This window comes from Homo sapiens, chromosome 14 (genome assembly GCF_000001405.40).
Source record: "Homo sapiens chromosome 14, GRCh38.p14 Primary Assembly".
Taxonomy (NCBI): domain Eukaryota; kingdom Metazoa; phylum Chordata; class Mammalia; order Primates; family Hominidae; genus Homo; species Homo sapiens.
In genome coordinates, this window is record NC_000014.9 from 102,989,823 (window position 1) to 103,009,320 (window position 19,498).

At 50.2% G+C, this 19,498-nt stretch overlaps 1 protein-coding gene across 8 annotated transcripts in view, besides 4 other annotated features; it reads right to left on the bottom strand.

The window, feature by feature from the left end:
* Window positions 1–19,498, bottom strand: part of CDC42BPB (CDC42 binding protein kinase beta) — a 125,170-nt gene that overhangs the window by 57,443 nt on the left and 48,229 nt on the right. For all 8 annotated transcript variants that reach the window (NM_001411054.1, NM_006035.4, XM_005268228.2 and 5 more), the window contains exons 3-5: window positions 18,650–18,733; window positions 14,106–14,201; window positions 9,743–9,891 (exon numbers count right to left, since the gene is read on the bottom strand). In NM_001411054.1, coding sequence (NP_001397983.1) covers window positions 9,743–9,891; window positions 14,106–14,201; window positions 18,650–18,733 — 329 coding nt within the window. The remainder of the gene's footprint in view (window positions 1–9,742; window positions 9,892–14,105; window positions 14,202–18,649; window positions 18,734–19,498) is intronic.
* Window positions 8,579–9,125: an enhancer, noted in NCBI's record as "H3K4me1 hESC enhancer chr14:103464738-103465284 (GRCh37/hg19 assembly coordinates)". NCBI's record gives its function as "activates a minimal SCP1, AML or CMV promoter by ChIP-STARR-seq in naive H9 embryonic stem cells {active_cell/tissue: H9 hESC(naive)}" and the evidence as "EXISTENCE:reporter gene assay evidence [ECO:0000049][PMID:30033119]".
* Window positions 12,241–12,340: an enhancer, noted in NCBI's record as "active region_9093". NCBI's record gives its function as "activates an Ori minimal core promoter by ATAC-STARR-seq in GM12878 lymphoblastoid cells {active_cell/tissue: GM12878}" and the evidence as "EXISTENCE:reporter gene assay evidence [ECO:0000049][PMID:35858748]".
* Window positions 19,150–19,444: a silencer, noted in NCBI's record as "tiled region #6354; K562 Repressive non-DNase unmatched - State 7:EnhWF". NCBI's record gives its function as "represses a minimal TATA promoter and a strong SV40 promoter by Sharpr-MPRA in K562 cells {active_cell/tissue: K562}" and the evidence as "EXISTENCE:reporter gene assay evidence [ECO:0000049][PMID:27701403]".
* Window positions 19,150–19,444: an enhancer, noted in NCBI's record as "tiled region #6354; HepG2 Activating non-DNase unmatched - State 15:Elon". NCBI's record gives its function as "activates a minimal TATA promoter and a strong SV40 promoter by Sharpr-MPRA in HepG2 cells {active_cell/tissue: HepG2}" and the evidence as "EXISTENCE:reporter gene assay evidence [ECO:0000049][PMID:27701403]".

Here is a 19,498-nt window from a genome sequence, read left to right on the forward strand (position 1 = left end):
CGCGCCAGCCTGGGCAACAAAAGCGAAACTCTGTTTCAAAAAAAAAAAGAAAAAAAAAAGAATGAAGAGCTCCATGAATTGATATGGAATGATTTACAGGATACATCACTAAAGTTTTTAAAGGTATCACCTTTTGCTTAACAAAGGATAAACAAGAAAACGCCTGCATGGACGATAGCAGAAGACAGCAGACTGGCTACGGATCCTGGGTTGCCAGCGGAGGTGGGCAGGATAAAGAAGGGGCGACGCTTCTGAGTACAACTTCATGCAGTTTTGGAAGCACGCTAACGTCCTACGTACTCAAAGAATAAAACTCAATCAACAAAGGCGGAAGGGAAGTCTAAAATGGAAAACTGATTCAAACCAATGAATCCAACTGTATTTCAAATAAATAACAACACTGAAGGGGGAGATGGGGTTAAAACAAAACAAAACAAAACAAAACAAATCCAAGTGACTTATGAACACAGAACTTGAATTACTGCAGGTGAGGGGTGCAGTCCCAATGAGATGGGGGAGAACCGCAAACAAACCCGGAATGCCTGCGGGCAGGTTTGCTTCTGTGGTGTCCTGGGCAGAGCAATTCTAAAGCTTTTTTAGACACATCTCAGGACTGAGTGAGTGCACGTACTAACGGTGCTGGGAGTCACAGTTTCAGTAGGAGGAAGACAAAAGTCTGGAAAGGGAGGAAGTCAGGAAGTTAACTCATGATTCCTGAGTATGCACAGGTAGACGTGTGTGTCCATGAGTGTGTCTATACCTCTGTTACTACCTCTGTGCACTGAGGGGCCTAGAAGCAGGCAACCCCATAGTAATGCGCATGCCCAGCACCCAGAACTTGGTCTTCAAAGCCGCTCCCCACTAAAGGGCCTTGAGCTCTTCTGAGAAACAACGGAGTGGGGACAGAGAAGGTATAGGATGAGCCAGAAACTAAGGGCATCCTCAAAAAGTGAAGAGGCACAGCGCAAACACAGGAGTCGGCTAGAATGCCAAATATGGGCCAATTTCAGCACAAAAATAACTAAGATAGTGAATTAAAAACCACTGGGAGAAAGAAGGATCCATGTAGCCACACTGATCACAAACAGACCAATACACAGGGAGAAAGGGGTTGCTTCCTTAGAGGAGAAAGCCGGATGACGACTGGTCAGCATGGTGGGTCTGGAGTTTGTGAGTCAATCTGCAACCATGCAAAGACTGGTCTAGGCAAAATTCATTAATGGGTACTAAATCTCTGGAGGAAATTTTAAAGAGGAAGAGGATATTTGCATGGTCTTAAAAGTATCTCCCCACAGGGAAAAAACTATATAGCAGAAAAATCTAACAAAATCTTAACTGCGTGATGGGTTTATCACCACCAAGGGGCTGATGGATATTGTACACCTGTGGAAATGACACCCTGAGAAGGACACAATATAGCTATACACACACATTCCAAGAGGAAGGAACACATCATCTCAATCTATCAGAAGGAAACATCAGACCAAACCAAAGAAGTCTTCTACTGAAAAAGCAAGGGACACTGTATTCGCCAAACACATCAATGTTCTTCCAACATGCCAATGTCACAACAAAGGAAGGATGAGGAACTATTCTAGATTAAAAGAGATTAAAGAAGACATGACAATAAATGCAACATGTGATCCTGGACTGGATTCTGTACTGGAGGGAAGAAAATACTGTAAGAGATGCTCCTGGGTCAACTGCTAAAATCTGAGTAAAGAGGGTATGATTAAGCATGAGTAGTGTAAGTAAGAATTTTGGGGTAAATGCTCTTGGTACATGCAGCTTATTCTTAGATGGGTGAGGAAAAATCTGTACGTGTGTGTACACATGTGGAGAGGGAGGGGGATGTATATAATAGGAGCCAAAATATTAACAATACGTGAATCTGATTAAAAGTATATGGGTGCTTTTTGTACCGTTCTTGCAACCCTTGTATAAGACTGAAATTTTTTAAGTTTGAAATTATTTGAAACATTATTTAAAAAGAAAACTTTTAAAAGAATGCACATGTAATATGATTCCATATATATAGTATTTTAAAACAGGCAAAGCTGATTTATGCTTTCAGAGCCTCACTGTCTAACATGGTAGCCCCTAGCCACAGAGGGCTATTCAAACTCAAATTAATGTAAATTACATAAAATGAAGAATTTGGTTCTTTTGTTGCACCAGCCACGTTTTGAGTGCTCATGAGCCACATGTGGCTGGGGCTACCGTATTGAGCAGTGCACATCTAGAACATTCTGTCACTGTGGAAAGTTCTGCATAGCACTGTGGGGGGGATGAGGGGTGGTGACCCCTGGGGAGGGAGTGATGGGGGAGCCCCAAGGGGGCTTATCTGGGTGCTGCTGTGAGCGTGCAGTTTTGAACAATCCACTGAGTTGCACCCCTCGGTTTGGGAGCTTTACTGAATACCTGTGACATATCTCAGTAAGATTTACATAAAGAAGTCAACTGAAATGGACTTTAAAGTTACAAAAAGCCCTCCTATCCCAACTACAGATAACAGTGATTTAAAGGATGTTTTTGCTGGGACCCAGAAATAAAACAGCCACCAGTTATAAATGGCAGACACAGTACCTGCCATGCATAAATTGTCACAATTGACCCTCAGGCCAGCCAGTGTGGTGGGGTAGAGACGGTGCTCCTCTCGTTACGGAAGAGGCAGCTGAGGAGCAGTGACTGCTGCCGCCTCCCAGCCTGCGCTGACAGCACAGTGACATCACGAATGCCAGCACCTGTGCTCACGTCACACGCTGCAATAACCTAAGAATCCACTCACCGCCTCACCAACTGTTTCAGCACATCAGAATTCAAAAACAATTTTTGTCTCACATTACTTTAGCAGCTTTGACACAAAATCTTTAAGTCTGAAAGAAAAAAATCAAAAGGAAAACATCTGCTGAATATACATATATTCAAAAATATATATATTCAAAAAATATATATTAAAAATATATATATTCAAAAATATATATTAAAAATATATATTTTATTTATTTATTTATTTATTTTTGAGACAGAGTCTCACTCTGTCACCCAGGCTGGAGTGCAGTGACACAATCTCAGCTCACTGCAACCTCTTGACTCCCTGGGTTCAAGCGATTCTCATACCTCAGCCTCCCAAGTAGCCGGGATTACAGGCGTGCACTACCACGCCCAGCTAGTTTTTTGTATTTTTAGTAGAGACAGGGTTTTGCCATGTTGGCCAGGCTGGTCTTGAACTTGTGAGCTCAAGCAATCCACACACCTCGGCCTCCCAAAGTGTTGGGATTACAGGCGTGAGCCACTGCACCTGGCCCATCTGCTGAATATATTATTTTCACTAATAAAAATCCTCTTTTCTTGGAAGTGTCTACTATACATATTTAAATACATCTCAATTAAATTTGCTTCAGAGGAACAAATTCTTCTTCATACGTTATATATACTACGTTCACTTCCCAACAGACTCCACCAGTGTTGGGAAGAAAGGCAGGTATCTGCAACTCTGAAGGCTGTGTGCACAGGGCATGCCGCAGGTGGGTTCTCAATGAGCCGCTCCACATGGGATGCGAGGCTTCTGGCCAAGAGCACGTCTATTAACAGCACTTTTGGGGACATCTAACAGACTCTCCCACGTCCACCAGTTTTTCTGCATTCTTTTCTCATGAAAAAAGAGTGAAAGGCAGAAAGAGAGAGGGAGAGTTGGAAGGATGAGAGGATGGAAGGATGGAGGGAAAGAGGGAGGGAGGGAGGGGAAATGAAGACCAACACTCCTGGAAGCAGAAGCAGACCCAGCCCTTCCCCTACCCTCCCCATGACCAGGGCACTCAGAAGCGCTCACTCGACCTCACAAACTTTTCACCATGGCTTCCTGCCTCCACTCCCTTCTGTGAGTCACCCATGTAAATAAAAGATGACCAGTTTTATGACAAGGAAGACTTGAAGCAATGCATACAGGACAAATGTATGAAGAGAAGCTCAAGGAGGTTGTGTAACAAGCTCTATACCTGGCTGCCGGGAAGAAATGGATTAAAGACAAGGATAATTACACTACTTTATTTAGACTGGAACAAACTGGTTCTTCTCCCCAAAAATCTCATCATTTAGGCTTAACTTTTTTGGTTTGGGAATGGAAGGCAGGGCAATTCAGAGAAATGGAGAAATGATTATATAGGAAAATGTTTAAGGCAAATAACCATAATTTCACATACACACGAAAAATGTCCCAAGTGGCCTGAGACAGGCTAGGAAGACACAGAAGAGAGTAAGGAGGCGCCGAGACACGCCACAACAGGTGTTCTATGGACCGAGTTAGCAGGAATGCAACGACCAGAGTCCAGGCTAAACAGGACCTGGTTGCCAGGAATTCCCTATAAAACAGGGATGTTTTTCCAGGGGCCACCCCAGGACCACCAACACAGTACACTCTGAGAAGACAGGCCGAGGAGGGGTCTCCGGAAGGCCATCTTCCTTGTATACCTTCCAGGGGCCATTTGCACGCACTGGGGGTCATCTGCGCCGTATAATTCTGTATTTAAAACATGTGGTGGTGGTTGATTTTTTTTTTTTAAGTGAACTTGCTGTTTGTGTGAGGAAAGCTCTCCTGACAGAAGAGCACTGGAGGTTCAGGGCAAGGGCTGACCTATGGCTCCCAACCGCCGAGGCCTTTAGATGGGCAGATGCCCAGGCCAACTGAGAGAGCTGACGGTCCCCATGGGCCACTGTGCTGGGACTGCCTATGTCCATTCTCCTCTAATGGCACAGCGGGGAGCAGCGGCGTCTTCAGGGGAGAGTCAGGCACAGCGCTGAGAAGCAGCTCTAGGCTCCCCCAAGTGCATTTTCTCCCAGCTGCTGAGATTCTGGCTAAAATCAGTGGCATCCAGCAGGTGTGGGTGAAAGAGCCATGGTGAATTGCAGGCTTTATGTCTCCCTTCCAGCTCTTCCTCTGACACTGAAAAGGGAGGCTGCTTCTGTCCCTCACCGTACCATTTCTGAGTGATGTCAACTCCCACTTCCATCCGTTCCCCTTGTGGAACTTCCTGCTGCAAAACCAGCAGAGGTCTGATTCCCACAGCAGGTGTGCCTCAGCCTCCAGAGCACAGTCCACCACCTGGGGTGTGGCTCCAGAGCCACTCTGACCGCCAGATCTTCTCTCCGAGGTTTTCTTTTCTTTTTTTCCTTTTTGTCAGATTTCCTCTACTTCATCTTCTGCCTCTTCTACTCAACTTTCTACTTTAGCTTTTATTTTCCAAGACTTTTTGTTTTCTACATATTCTTTTTCTTAAAATTTGTACTCTGTTCTTATTTTGTTCATACACTATACTCTCTGCTCTCTCTTTAGGGATGTGATGTTCTCTCTCTCTCTCTTTTTTTTTTTTGAGACAGAGTATCGCTCTTGTTCTCCAGGCTGGAGTGCAATGGCGCGATCTCGGCTCACTGCAACCTCCACTTCACGGGTTCAAGCAGTCCTCCTGCCCCAGCCTCCCGAGCAGCTGGGAGTACAGGTGCTCATCACTAAGCCTGGCTAATTTTTTGTATTTTTAGTAGAGACAGGTTTTACCATGTTGGCCAGGCAGGTCTCAAACTCCTGACCTCAGGTGATCCACCTGCCTAGGCCTCCCAAAGTGCTGGGATTACAGGCGTGAGCCACTGTGGCCGATGTTCTCTCTCTGAAACCCTTTGTGTCATTCATGATCTCTGCCTTTCCGGATATCATCAGGGGCTGACCTCTCAGGAAGGAGCTGTACCCACCTGTGAGGGGCACCCACAGGGTCCTGGTCTGCCACTGATTTCCTCACCCGGAAGGCTTTTGGGGTCCAGCTGCGGAAACCAGGCAGCAGCTGTGAAACCTGCAGACCCCCGCCTGCGGGGTGGGATCCCCACAGCACCCGACTAACCCCAGGAAGGGGCCCAAGCGGCAGCACAGTGGCACGGGCTCCAAACCATGCTGTAACGTCAGCCACGCCGTAAAGTTGGCCACACCGTAACATCGGCCAGCGGCACCACTCTGGCGCCAATGACATTTCTTTCTGACCCTACCAAATGTTCACAATGCCCCCACCTGAGACTGGGGTAAGACAGGCCTCCTAGAAAAATCTCTGTTCTATTTTTAGATTGCATCTGGGCACTCAGTCTGAATAATGAGTTAATTTGGGGGGAAAAATAAAGTTTTAAAATTACATATTTTGATGTCTACTATGCCCGGACGTCAAACGACTGAGCAAAGCTTCTACACAGCCAATTAAGAGAATGAGGATGGCTCACGCCTGTAATCCCAGCACTTTGGGAGGCCGAGGCGGGCGGATCACGAGGTCAGGAGATCAAGACCATTCTGGCTAACACGGTGAAACCCCATCTCTACTAAAAATACAAAAAAATTAGCTGGGCGTGGTGGTGGGCACCTGTAGTCCCAGCTACTCGGGAGGCTGAGGCAGGAGAATGGCGTGAACCCGGGAGGCGGAGCTTGCAGTGAGCTGAGATGATGCCACTGCACTCCAGCCTGGGTGACAGAGCAAGACTCCGTCTCAAAAAAGAAAAGAGAGAGAGAATGAGGAGAACGCTTTCTATTTAGGGGGAGAAAAACAATTTAAAAGGTGGTCAAACTAATTTCCCTGGAGATCTGTGATAAATACAAAGACATTTATTTCTCTATTGTGAATTAAGTTCTACCAAGAAGACAGTATAAAATCTAAATGTTAAAACCTATACTAACTTATGGGCCGGGGGAGGTGGCTCATGCCTGTAATTCCAGAACTTTGGGAGGCCGAGGTGGGTGGATCACCTGAGGTCAGGAGTTCTAGACCAGCCTGACCAACATGGAGAAACCCCATCTCTACTAAAAACACAAAATTAGTTGGGTGTGATGGTGCATGCCTGTAATCCTAGCTACTCGGGAGGCTGAGGCAAGAGAATTGCTTGAACCTGGGAGGTGGAGATTATAGTGAGCTGAGACCGCTCCATTGTACTCCAGCCTAGGCAACAAGAGTGAGACTCCATCTCAAAAAAAAAAAAAAACAACCTATACTAATTTATAAAAGCAAGCATAACTATGTTAAGAAATGTATTTTTTAAAAAGAAAGAAAGAGAAAGCAATGTCCACAACCTCATCACACTAAATGAGTGTCTGTTCTATCGGGACAGCTCCCTGTGTGCTGGGAGGTGCGAGCCATCAGCAATGAGGCTAAGGAAAGGCGCCCACCTCTCTAGCCTCAACTTCCTCCTCTAGCAACGAAGCAGCACTCCAGCAAGACGGAAGAGCTATAACTCAGCAGCGCCCTTGCTCCCCACACAGGAGGGGCTGTGTCTGCTTGGGAAAGCCTCCTGATCACCACGGAGGGGGCCCGAGCACAGGCCTACAGCTCAGAACACAAAGCCATGGAGACCACAATGGCCTCACACCTCTCGAGAGCAGCCTCAAGGTGGAAGACACAGACACATGTGATGCCTGCGAAGTCCCAAGGGGAAAGTGGTTTCCAACTAAAATCTCCACACTGGATAAAGCACCAGTCACAGACACACATGGAATAAAGGCACTGATTTCAAAAAACTCTCTCATATACCCCCCTTCCAGCCACCACTGGAGGACACGCGCTACCAAGCCAAACTAAAAAGCCAAGAAAAAGAAAAATGAACGGCTCGGAAAAGCTGGGAGCCAGTCCCAGAAAGGGAGAGGGGATCTCTGCACTTGAAAAGCCATCTCAGAATGAGTGCAGCACAGGACAAATGAGGAACCAACGTGGAAGAGAGGAGGGGAACGATGGAAGGGACAGCGCCAAGGAAAACCAGATCGAGACTACCCGATGCATGTCCGGTACGGAGCTTCATAACGTGGCCACAATATCTGGGGACAAATTAGTGACAGCTACAAAGAAAAGCTAATAAAAAGCAAGGCAATTATCAACTCCAGAGAAAGCAGAAGTTTATGTAAGTGTAGTTCTCAACTACAAGGCTGCTGTCATAGTTACGCAGTCACAGTATTATCAACACCAAATGCTGACTGAACCATAGCTGAAAGGATGGATTTTAACCATTCTAATCAGGATGACGTGGAGCCGGGCGCGGTGGCTCACGCCTGTAATCCCAGCACTTTGGGAGGCCGAGATGGGCGGATCACTTGAGGTCAAGAGTTCAAGACCAGCCTGGCCAACATGGCGAAATCCCATCTCTACTAAAAATACAAAAAAATTAGCTGGGCGTAATGGCTACTCAGGAGCCTGAGGCAGGAGAATCTCTTGAACCCAGGAGGCAGAGGCTATAGTGAGTGAAATCACGCCACTGCACTCCAGCCTGGGTGGCAGAGCGAGACTCCATCCTAAAAAATATATCAAAATAAAAATGAAAAGGATGATGTGGGAGAAAGGAAGACAGTTTGGAAGTATATGTGAGAGAGATGGGTGACAGAGAGAAAGAGGTAATTATGTAAAAGAGTTAAAATTTCAATTTCATAGATGTGATCTAAAGCCAAAAAAGAAAAGAAAGAAATTAGCAATATAAACCTGTGACTTAAGACACATGAAGGCAGATGCTGGAAAAATAATTTTACAAATTTACAATAGTTACCTGACCAAGTGTAATCAGCGGGGCCAGGGCTGGGCTTGGTTTTGGTTGGAGGCTCTATAGAACTGTTTGACTTTTTAAACCTATTACCATAAAATTATCTTGTAATAAAAATACAAGTAAAACTAGTTTTTAAAAACAACGAAAACCAAAACAAACCACAGGACTGAATCTTTGAGTCTCAGGACAAGAGGGATGTGAAGATGTGGACTCAGTGGCTGAGTCACTGGGGAGCTGCCCTCCCAGCCGAGAAGGCAGAGGGGGCCCCTGAGAGCAGGAGACGGAGCTGCTTTAGGCCTCTGCCCCACACGCTCTCTCAGCTCAACTCCTGCAAGTCGCAGTGATGGAAGCCTCTTCCTCAAGCCCTATTTCCTTTGTGAGTGTCCTGGGGCCCTTCAGGGGTCAGCACGGCACAGAGAAGACCAGAGTTGAGAAAGAATGTGGGGACAGAGGGCCCCAGGCCCCACACGAGACATTTCAGGGTGGTAAGGACAGAGGACCCTGAGCCCCACGTGAGCCCCAGGGAGCACAGGCATTTTAGGGAGGGGGTCTTGGGCGGTAGAGACAGAGGACCCCGGGGCCCACGTGAGCCCCAGGGAGCACAGGCATTTTAGGGAGGGGGTCTTGGGCGGTAGAGACAGAGGACCCCGGGGCCCACGTGAGCCCCAGGGAGCACAAGCATTTTAGGGAGGGGGTCTTGGGCGGTAGAGACAGAGGACCCCGGGGCCCACGTGAGCCCCAGGGAGCACAGGCATTTTAGGGAGGGGGTCTTGGGCGGTAGAGACAGAGGACCCCGGGGCCCACGTGAGCCCCAGGGAGCACAAGCATTTTAGGGAGGGGGTCTTGGGCGGTAGAGACAGAGGACCCCGGGGCCCACGTGAGCCCCAGGGAGCACAGGCATTTTAGGGAGGGGGTCTCAGACGGGGAGAAGTTGAGTCAATGTCAAATAAATATCAAAAGACACAGTGGCTTCGGCTGACAGCAGACCATGACAACTGCAACAATGAGAGCTGGGATCCACCGGCTGCTGGGGCTGGAAGACGGTGATGTGGGCAAATCAGTCTGTGCTGCGGCAGCTCAAAGTGGGGACTCGCTACCTACATGGCTTCTTGGGACGGCCTGGACTTGGGAGCTCTGAAAGGAGTCTTTTAACAATTAAACGTGGTTTCCATAAAATATATCAGAAGCCGGTTACCTGTGCACGTAATGAAGCTGATGGATGGAGTCAATGGCCAGCACCATTTCACCAATGTAGAACCTCGCCATATCTTCCGGAAGCTTGTCTTCAAATTTGCTGAGCAGGGTCAGTAAATCACCACCCACATAGTAATCCATGACTAAGTACTACAAATTGGAAAGAGAAGGGGAGAGAATACCACATTTAGTCACCACTAAACCTGACAGTTACAGGCCAGTCTTCCATGGCGAGGTTCTCAGGCTCCAGGTCTGGCTCGTGGCATCTCAGCTGCTCTTCTGTCACCCAAGACCCTCCTTCTGGAACATGCGCCCCGATGCGTCCACGACGCCGCCATCTTCAGGGGTGCATATGGCAGAGAGTGGACTTCAGTAAGTGATGTATTTAATCAATGGGAGGAATGATGAAAGGGCTTGAGGTTGGAGAGGGCACTCTAAAAGCTAGTGACCCAAAGCAGAAGCACAGTTAATAGCCCATCAATCCTATGGGTTTAAAAATAATTCTCCAGGCCCTCATGTTATGTGAGGACGACACCAGACCAGAGAAGGGAGGCAAAGTAGTTAACATCACACATGGTATCAGCAGTTCTTATTGGAAAGATTATATCATAAAAGAGCCGAAAGATAATTACTTATAGGTTCACTCCAACAGAAACCTCAGAAAAGCTCCTACTTAAGTAGAAATTGGAGTAATGGGAGAAAAAACATCTGCTAACAGGGCTGAGCCCGTCACTTCCCCGCGAGTTCCCTCGCCACCGGGCCAGCCGTGTGCTGGGAGTGGGCGACCCCGAGGTGAGCCTGCGTAGAGCTCTGCCTGAGGACAGCCTGTCTCTTGCAGCACTCAGAAAGCTCAGACCACAAAGCCCACAGTCTGTGGAGGCCCCAGTGGGGAGATCTCACAGGTCAGAGAGGCCCAGGACAGGCAAGACCATCACAGCCAGAGTCAGGGTGGCAGCCAACACCTCCATCTCTGGGGCCGCTGTGCCTCAGTGAATGCTGGGGAAGCACGTGGCCTGAACCTCACAGGAGCCGCCTTCCTTGGTGCAAATTTCCTGTGAAGAGATGGATGCTGTGGTCTGGACAGCTAGCTTTTAACTAACCCGCACAGGGAGTAAACGCCCTGTTTATCAGCCGGGGCAGGGACCCTGTAATATTTATGGAGAACCTAATCATATCAGCTGCTGTCACCATGAAGGCCCACGCTCGGGCCCAGGCTGTGAGACACAGGCCAGTGCTGTCCTGTTCACGCTCCCACCTGCCCTTGCCTCTGGCACCAAGACCCCATCGACACGGGAGGCTTGGGGATGGGCCCGGGGTCTCCCAGCAAGCAAGGACAGAGCAAAGACCTGGGCCCAACAGTCAGACTCCACGCCCATCACATTCAACCAGACTGCAGTGTCTCCAAAGGAAGGGAAGCACCACACCGGTGGGCTTGTCTGAGGAAGGGAGCGGCCCAGCTAATCAGAGGAAACGACAGAAGCCTTCATTTTAGGTCCCTGCTCTCAACAGAATCTTTACCAGCAAACTCTCATCCCTTCCAAGCCTCTCCACAGCTGTCCCACCCTGTGGAGTCTTCCTCAAGCCTCCCTGCCACCGCCAAGGGCAGCCCCAGCCTCCCCGCCCTGGCTCAGGCACTGCCCGTCCTTCCCCGCCGAGTTTTTCAATTTGTTCATTCGCTCGTGCACCCTCACTGTGGCCCCGCCAGCCCCTCTGGCAACAGGGGTGCTGGCATGCACGAGACAGCGAGGTCCCTGGCTCAGCAGAGCTCACACTGGGGGCGGGAGAGACCGTGGCCAGCATGGAGAGCAGGCAGTGGTGAGCGCCAGCTGACCGCAGGCCGCCTGGTGAGGTGCCCAGGCCAGAGGTTGCCAAGCAGAGGCCTGAGGGGAGCCGCGGTCGTGCTCCAGATGAAGGGGTGCGTGCAAAGCGGCTAGGAGGAAAGTGGCAGCGGCACCCTGGAGCCTGCCAAAAGGGGAGGGCCGGCCACAGTGGGGGCTGCAGCCCCACACTCAGAGCAGTGAGTGGGTGATGTTCCCCAGCTACGTTCAGAAGCCCAGGCACCGAGGTGCCACTGCGTGTGGAGGGCGATGCAGAGGGGGCGGTGGATGCACACTGCAGGCATTCCAGAGGGAGCGGCCCCGGCAGCTGACGGACACACACGGGGCCAGGGGAGATGCGGTGAACGAACGGCCAGGCCCTCGGGCCCCTAAGGAAGGCCGTGGGGTCGAGTCAAGCCCTTACTAGCTGAGCCCCAGCCGCGTCCACGTCTGCCGAGAACTCTAAGAGGAGGAGCTTCCTACAGCAGCACTGGGTCTGATCAACGGTCTCCTGGAGCATGGTCTCTGAGGAAAGCTAACGCGGGAGCTCGTGAGGCAGACGGCGGAGGCCCACTCCAGAATGAGAATCAGACCTAGTCTGTCCTGTCACAGAACGCGGGGTGCTGAGTTAAGCCAGTAAGTTTTAGTTAGCAGTCAAACAGGTTTAATTTTGATAAAACTCTGTGAGATAGCTCCAATAGAAACTGTAGCAGAACCCGCTCTGTGGGTGGTCAGAGGAACCCACGTTTCCATATCGCTATGAGAGGCACCTGACACCAGCCTGCACTCGGGCCAGCCTCACAACCATAGGAAGAGGAACTGGCCTAACCCTCAACGCCCCCGCTCAAGGTGGCAGGTGTGCACCGCAGAAGCCGGCCCCGCAGTCACGGGCCAGAAAGCTTCCAAGGCCTCGCCTTCGTTTTCTCATCCTTAATTTTCATGGTACGTCTACCTGGGCAACTCCAAAATCTCAAGAACATGGAATCTTCACAGGGGCTCCTAACTGACGTGTGTTAACTTAGAATAAACCTGGCAACACCTAACATTTCAGATGGCAGCACGCTATGCTAATTTAAAAAAATATTAGAAACAAAACAAGCATCATCATCTTCCTTTGTACAGATCCCAGTTGCCTGTACTCCCTGGAAACTTCACTCAGTTCTTATCGAAAGTGGAAATGAACTGGAGACAGTCCACCGGGGTCCTGGGAGCAGGGACACTGAGCAGGAAGCGGGGGGGTTTATGTGGAGGTGGCCCCAGAGCAGGGGATCCGGAACCTGCTCGCCAGGCTGGGGCTGGGTCTTGGTCACAGGTGCTGTCATCCATGTGGTCACTTTGGGCAAGTGACTTCGCCTCCCTCTGCCCCAGACACCCCCTTATGAAACAGTGGAATCACTGGGTCGTTGGGAAGACGGACGGGGACCCCTGTGGGCCTGAAACATCCTAAGTGCTCAACAAACACCAGCTGCCCCCTCTGCTGGGCAAACACATATATATAAAGTCTACATAAGTACACATTTTTCCCTAATCCTGGGTGTTCAAATCTCAGGGCTTTCTCTGATGCTTCAAGGGCTCCTTTAGGGTGAATGGAAGGATCCCACACTACTCCATCTGCTGTGAACCAATGGAGCGCACAACCCAGGAGCTTCAGGTGGACACGCACGTTGGCTGCCAAGGAAAAGGAAGCCTCGGGTCCCTGCTCTGAGGCTTGGTGACCACAGCGACCACGCCCCTCTCGCCACCACTGCAGAAACAGTGCCATTGGGAATGAGTTGGGCTGAGACCTCCTTCTCTGAGGTCTGCCCGCGTCACGTCCACCCAGAGCTCCAGCAGTGGACACTTTCAGGTTCAGGCAAACCTAGAGTCACTCTAGGAATAAAAAGTCCTGAACAAGGCGGTCTGCGGGTCACTCAGCGGCCAAGACCAAGGGCTGGTTTCCCCTTCACCGCCAAGTCAGCTGCCTTAGAGTGCCGTGGAGGCGAACACGCTTGACAATGCACATGCATGTGCGTCACGAGGCTGGTCCATCTGTCCTGAAAGCAAGCCCTGTTTAAATCGGAAAAATACACAGGCAGCGTGGAGACTAAGAGTCACCTAAAACCTGTCGAAAGGGCCTGGGGCACCCCCCCCACCGCGGGAAGACAGGAGGACTGCAGGCCCACGAGAGGCACTCCCGGACTCAGCCCTAGCTGAGATGGAGGCAAAAACATCCACGTGGCTTAATCCCCACTGCGGTTCCTTATTCTCAATAATCCAAGATTGAAAGTGTTTCAAACTCCCAGCTGATTTAAATGTAATAAACCCAGCAAACAAACGAATCAGCTTCTCTAGTGATTAGAAAAAAACAAAGTCCTTACTTCCACATGTGTATTTTAAAGAAGTTCTACCTGACAATTACTGCATGAAAACAAGCCCCGCCGTTTTATCGAGTCCAATACACATTTTTTAAATGTCAGTTCCACATTGTCTGACTGAATTTTTAGTGACAGCATAAAGGAATAAAGCCGGAGCGAATGCCCTGACCGAGTCTCTGGCTGTGCGACCTACCAGGTGGTTCTCGTCCTGAAAGGCGTAGTGCAGCGCGGTGATCCACTGGCAGTCGCCGTTCACCAGCACATCGCGCTCCTCTCGGAAGCACGCGGTCTGCAAAGCAACGAGGGGTGTCAGTCTGTGTTCACTGGGAAGCAGGCCAGAGAGCGTACTGCCGGTCTCGGGGTCCCTCCTGGGACAGTGGCTCCAGCCACGGTGTCCCTGCCTTCCGGGCTCCTCCTCGTGCACCACCCCGAGGCTGCTGAGGCTGAGCCATCCCTCATCCCTTCCTCTCCCAAGCCCCGTGCAAGTGCCAAGGGCTGCTGAGGAGGCACTTGCACCCTGCTGTCCCACGGGCACCATTTCTGTGGCTGACACTTAGATTCACCCCACCCTTATGTGGATTCCTGACTGGGCTCCTCCCACCTGGCACCTCCTGACTCCTCTACCAGATCAACCTCTGCCAAGTATCGATGGCATGGGCAGCCCCACGTGTCTGCCCTCTCCGTCCTATACCCACTACTGAGCTGCTGTGCAGCTGGCAGAAGGCGCACACGTTTGCTGAAATCACAGTATAGTGATGACACAATTGTCACAGATTCCACTAGGGAGGCCTACAGCCAGCAGCACAGGGCAAGAGGCTGCCCTCTACCCTGCTACGTCTTCCAAAAGAGTTTTAATGCCCAGGTGGCATCTCCGTTTAAAAGTCACCAGGCCTGGCCGAGCACGGTGGCTCACACCTGAGGTCAGGAGTTCAAGACCAGCCTGGCCAACATGATGAAACCCTGTCTCTACTAAAAACTAGAAAAACTAGCCAGGTGTGGTGGCAGGTGCCTGTAATCCCAGCTACATGGGAGGCTGAGGGGGGAGAACTGCTTGAGCCCAGGAAGCGGAGGTTGCGGTGAGCCAAAATTGCATCACCGTACTCCAGCCTGGACGACAGAGCCAGACTCCATCTCAAAAAGAAAAAAAAAATGGCTGGTCACGGTGGCCCACACCTGTGGTCCCAGCAGTTTGGGAGGCCGAGGTGGGTGGATCACGAGGTCAGGAGATCAAGACCATCCTGGCTAACACCGTGAAACCCCGTCTCTATTAAAAATACAAAAAAATTAGCTGGGTGTGGTGGTGGGCGCCTGTAGTCCCAGCTACTCGGGAGGCTGAGGCAGGAGAATGGCATGAACCCAGGAGGCGGAGCTTGCAGTGAGCCGAGATCATGCCACTGCACTCCAGCCTGGGCGACAAAGCGAGACTCTGTCTCAAAAAAAAAAAAAAAGTCAACAGGCCTTTGGCATAATTTTAACATGATTTCCTCTTTATTGAGCACAGAACAAGATTCAAACTGTCTTACATTTGAACTTGTCAAGCTTAACAAAAATATAAGTACATTACGGAGAGCTTGCTATGTGAGGCACGAGGGCACAGTTCTGACCGGCTCTCAGCTGAGTCTCACAGTGACCTCTGAAACTTATTTCTTCTACAAGGTTTTCTTTTCTAAACTTTAAAAAGTTTTCCTTTCAGGCTGGCCATGGTGGCTCACGCTGTAATCCCAGCACCTTGGGAGGCCAAGGCGGGAGGATCACTTGAGCCTAGGAGTTTGAGACCAGCCTGGGCAACATAGTGAGACTCCGTCTCTACAAAAGAATCTTAAAAATTAGCCGGGTGTGGTGTCACCCGTCTGCAGTCCCAGCTACTCAAGAGGCTGAGGTGGGAGGATCGATGAGCCCAGCTGAGATCATGCCACTGTACTCCAGCCTGTACAACAGAGTAACAGAGTGAGACCCTGTCTCTAAAACAAGAAAAAAAAAGTTTTTCTTTCAAAATGAAATGGTTGGCTGCACACGGTGGCTCACGCGTGTAATCCCAGCACTTTGGGAGGCTGAGGCAGACGGATCGCGAGGTCAGGAGTTCAAGACCAGCTTGGCCAACATGGTGAAACCCCGTCTCTACTAAAAGTACAAAAATTAGCTAGGCGTGGTGGCGGGTGCCTGTAATCCCAGCTACTCGGGAGGCTGAGGCAGAGAATCGTTTGAACGCAGGAGACCGAGGTCGCAGTGAGCCAAGATCGTGCCATTGCACTCCAGCCTGGGCGACAGGGAGAGACGTCTCAAAAAAAAAAAAAAAAAAAAGATGGCTGTTGCAGCTGTGTCCCAGTTCTACTAATGACAACATGACAAGCGGTCAACATTCAGCTTGCTAATGTCCAGACATGCAGAGACCAGCAATTCTGGAATCATCACAACCCCTCTGCCAACAGCCACCTCAGCCACAAGGGCCTGGTGAAGGGACAACTAAAGAAAACCTGAGCCTCAGTGTGCCTGACCTCCTGTCTTCCAGAACGCGCCCCCAAAAAGAAATGGTGATGGAGTGCTGAGTCCCAGGTGAGGTGAGACCGTGGGCTCAGGAGGCCGGGGCTGCCCCGAGGATCTGCGGCACCTGTGCCAACGCCTCCAGGAGACGCTCCCTGAAGCTCTGCCTGGCAGCTAGCTGCCCAGAGCATTTAGGAAAAACCCATTCTTAAACTGGGGACTGCCTGCAAGGTGACCTGCTGACAGGAAACTTATGTATTATCCAGCAGTTTTGTTTAAGGAGCAGAGAGAGAAACTTTTAGTATTTTTTAACCAAGTAAGATGAAATAAAGACCTTGCCTGGTAGAAAAATTATAAACTACACTGCTTAGCAACTCTTCTACTGACCAACCTCTTAATTCATGCTTTTAAGAAAATTTTTTATAAATCAGTATTATAAAATTTAATGCTTAAAATAAGTCTATGATATAAAAATAAAAAGATAAATTATTTGCAACTAGCACCATATTTATTTTTATATCTCTTACACACATATACTCTAGTATAATCACCGCGACTGGCAAACATTCTTGAGCTTTTCTGAGCATGCCAATTAAACTGGATCTGTGTCACCAGATTCAAATTAAATCAGCAATATTTACTCTTTTTAAATGTACTCATCCACCATGACATTTAGGTAAATACCAAACACCTGATACCTCTCTACACTTTCATGTAACAGTAGCTACTTTTTCCCCTAAAAATTTGCTCCAATAACATTCCTGTGTTTGCCACTGTTTGGGGCGGGGAAAGGGCTGCTGGGGCTGAGGGCAGGCCCAGCGGAAGCACACAGTGAGATGACTGAGTGAAGATGGAGGAAAAGAGAGCAAAGGCTTCTCCCAAAGAAGGAAGGGAGACCGTGTACACCCCAGAAGCTGGGAGACCCAGGGGGCCGAAGCAATCACAGGCCACCGACATTTTGAGACCAGGGTAACTACAAAATGGTGCTAACTCTGTCAACCAACACGCGTTCAGTGAGCAACAAATGGTTGTGAGACCTTGTGCTGGGTGCCATAGCAGGGAAAGGGGAAATGGGTGCAGAGCGGGGGAGGGAAAAGCCAGAATGACTGAGTCACGAGGAACCGATAACACCCACCAAGTTAATAAAACCCAGGGCCCCAGAGAGATCTGGCCCGAATCGATGGTTGTACTGTTGTCGGCCCAAGGTGGCAACCATCATGGGCAGCACAGGCACAAATTCCAGGACCAAAGAGGAAAGCGTCACCTCAAATTACTAGAAGGGTGAGAGGAGTAAGAGGAGAGGGTCTAGAAACCCAAGAAGGACTTCCCAAAATGAGGAGGTGGCCACGTCGAGAGGTTCAACTCCAGAAGCAAGCGCTGACCGCAGGGCTGAGCAGCCTAGAGCCACCGCAGCGCTGCCAGGCACAGGCCTCGCTCAGGGCGGGTCAGAGACACACGGGGCCACAGCAAACCATTGTGATGAATGGCAGCCTGCAAGGAGGGGACTGCCAAGTGCCTTCTGGCAGAGGCGGGAGTCACGGGAGAGGATGGAGCATGATGGACGGAGCAGATCTGAAGCAGGAAGCAGGTCAACTGGCCAGGAAGGGCCTGGGCTCTGAGTGCAGGGGAGGGGAAGACAACAGGGCGGGTGAGGACAGAAACTCAAGATGGCCAGAGAGGAAAAGCGTGGGCTCCCCAGCAGGCCTGGCCTGCCTTAGGCAGGCAGGAGGGAGACCAATGGCAGAGCACGCGGCTGTAGAGGTGGGGTCAGAGGCATGGAATGGCCACCAAGAAGACTGACACGGAACTAAGAAAAAGGAGCTGATCAAAGCCTGCTGGGCAGTGGTCCACTTCATTTCTAATCGTGAGGATCCTCTAGGTGGGAATCTAAAGACCTATTCTGTATGTGAGCAGGGTCCAAACGTGTTAATTCCTTTTGTGTATGGAGCAGAACTGCAATCAATGCTGAAACTCTCCCGATGCTTTTTATTTGCCTTTACAGTAAACAGGACCCGCCAACATTCTCGAGGGTGCACTCTCAGGAACAGTGTCCAGCAAGCAAGTGGTCGCTGAGGCGGGGAGCAGCAGGCGCCAGGGAGGAGACTGAGACCTCCTCAAAAGAGAGTGCTCGCTCTGTCCGGGGGGCAGGGAGGCCCAGGGCTGTGGGGTGGCTGCAGCTTTTCCCCAGCTGGCTTCACAGTCACTTTCTGCTCACCCCAAGCCCCATTTGTATGGCTTTTCAAGCTCCATACTTACCTCTGCTCTTTTCAGCATCTCCCACTTGTTGAGGATTTTCATTGCATAAATTCGTTCAGTATTCTTCATTTTGACAACAGCAACCTGCAGTGCAAATGTGAGTTGAACAAAGATGCGGTTCTTGAACAAAAGGCTAGCACGCTGGAGCTAAACTGTAGTGAAATCCTAACAGCCCAGGAGCCTGTGAAACCAGCAGTGACCGAAAGCCAAGTTTCCCACCTAGCATGTGCCAGTTCCTGCATCAAGAACCTTTTCTTCACAGAGAAAGGGACCGGCCACGTGGGCTCCGGAGTTTCACTCCTGCAAATTCACCCCTTTATGGCTCGGGTTCCACCACTACAGGAGGTTAATGGCAGGACCGGACTCCTGAGACACCTATGAGGACCCATGAGCACTGACAGTTAATGTGCCCAGCACACTGTGGGGCACAGTCAGCACTCAGCGCGCGGCCACCAGCCACATTCTTTAAAGAACAATTCAAGTGCCACCTCCTTCAGGAAGTCCTCTTGGACTTTCCAGTTTCTACCAAATCTTGAATAAGCTCTGCCATCACTACCAACACCCGTCAAGATGTCTGCACCATTGTCTGGTGCATTCCACCCTACGTAAGTCACTCACACACGGGCCCAAGTCTCCAACTCAGCACTTCCTGTAAGCTACTCACTGGCAGTGACAGCGGCTTCCATACCTTCTGGCTGCCAATGGCAAGCAGCCAGCATGTCCCCGTGCCTGCAGCAGCCATGGCCTGAAGAGGTCTTAAATGGCAGTATCATCTACCTGCCTGTTTCTAACATCAAATACCACACAGTCACATCGTAGAGTCACTGTGAGAGCTGCCATTCACCAGGC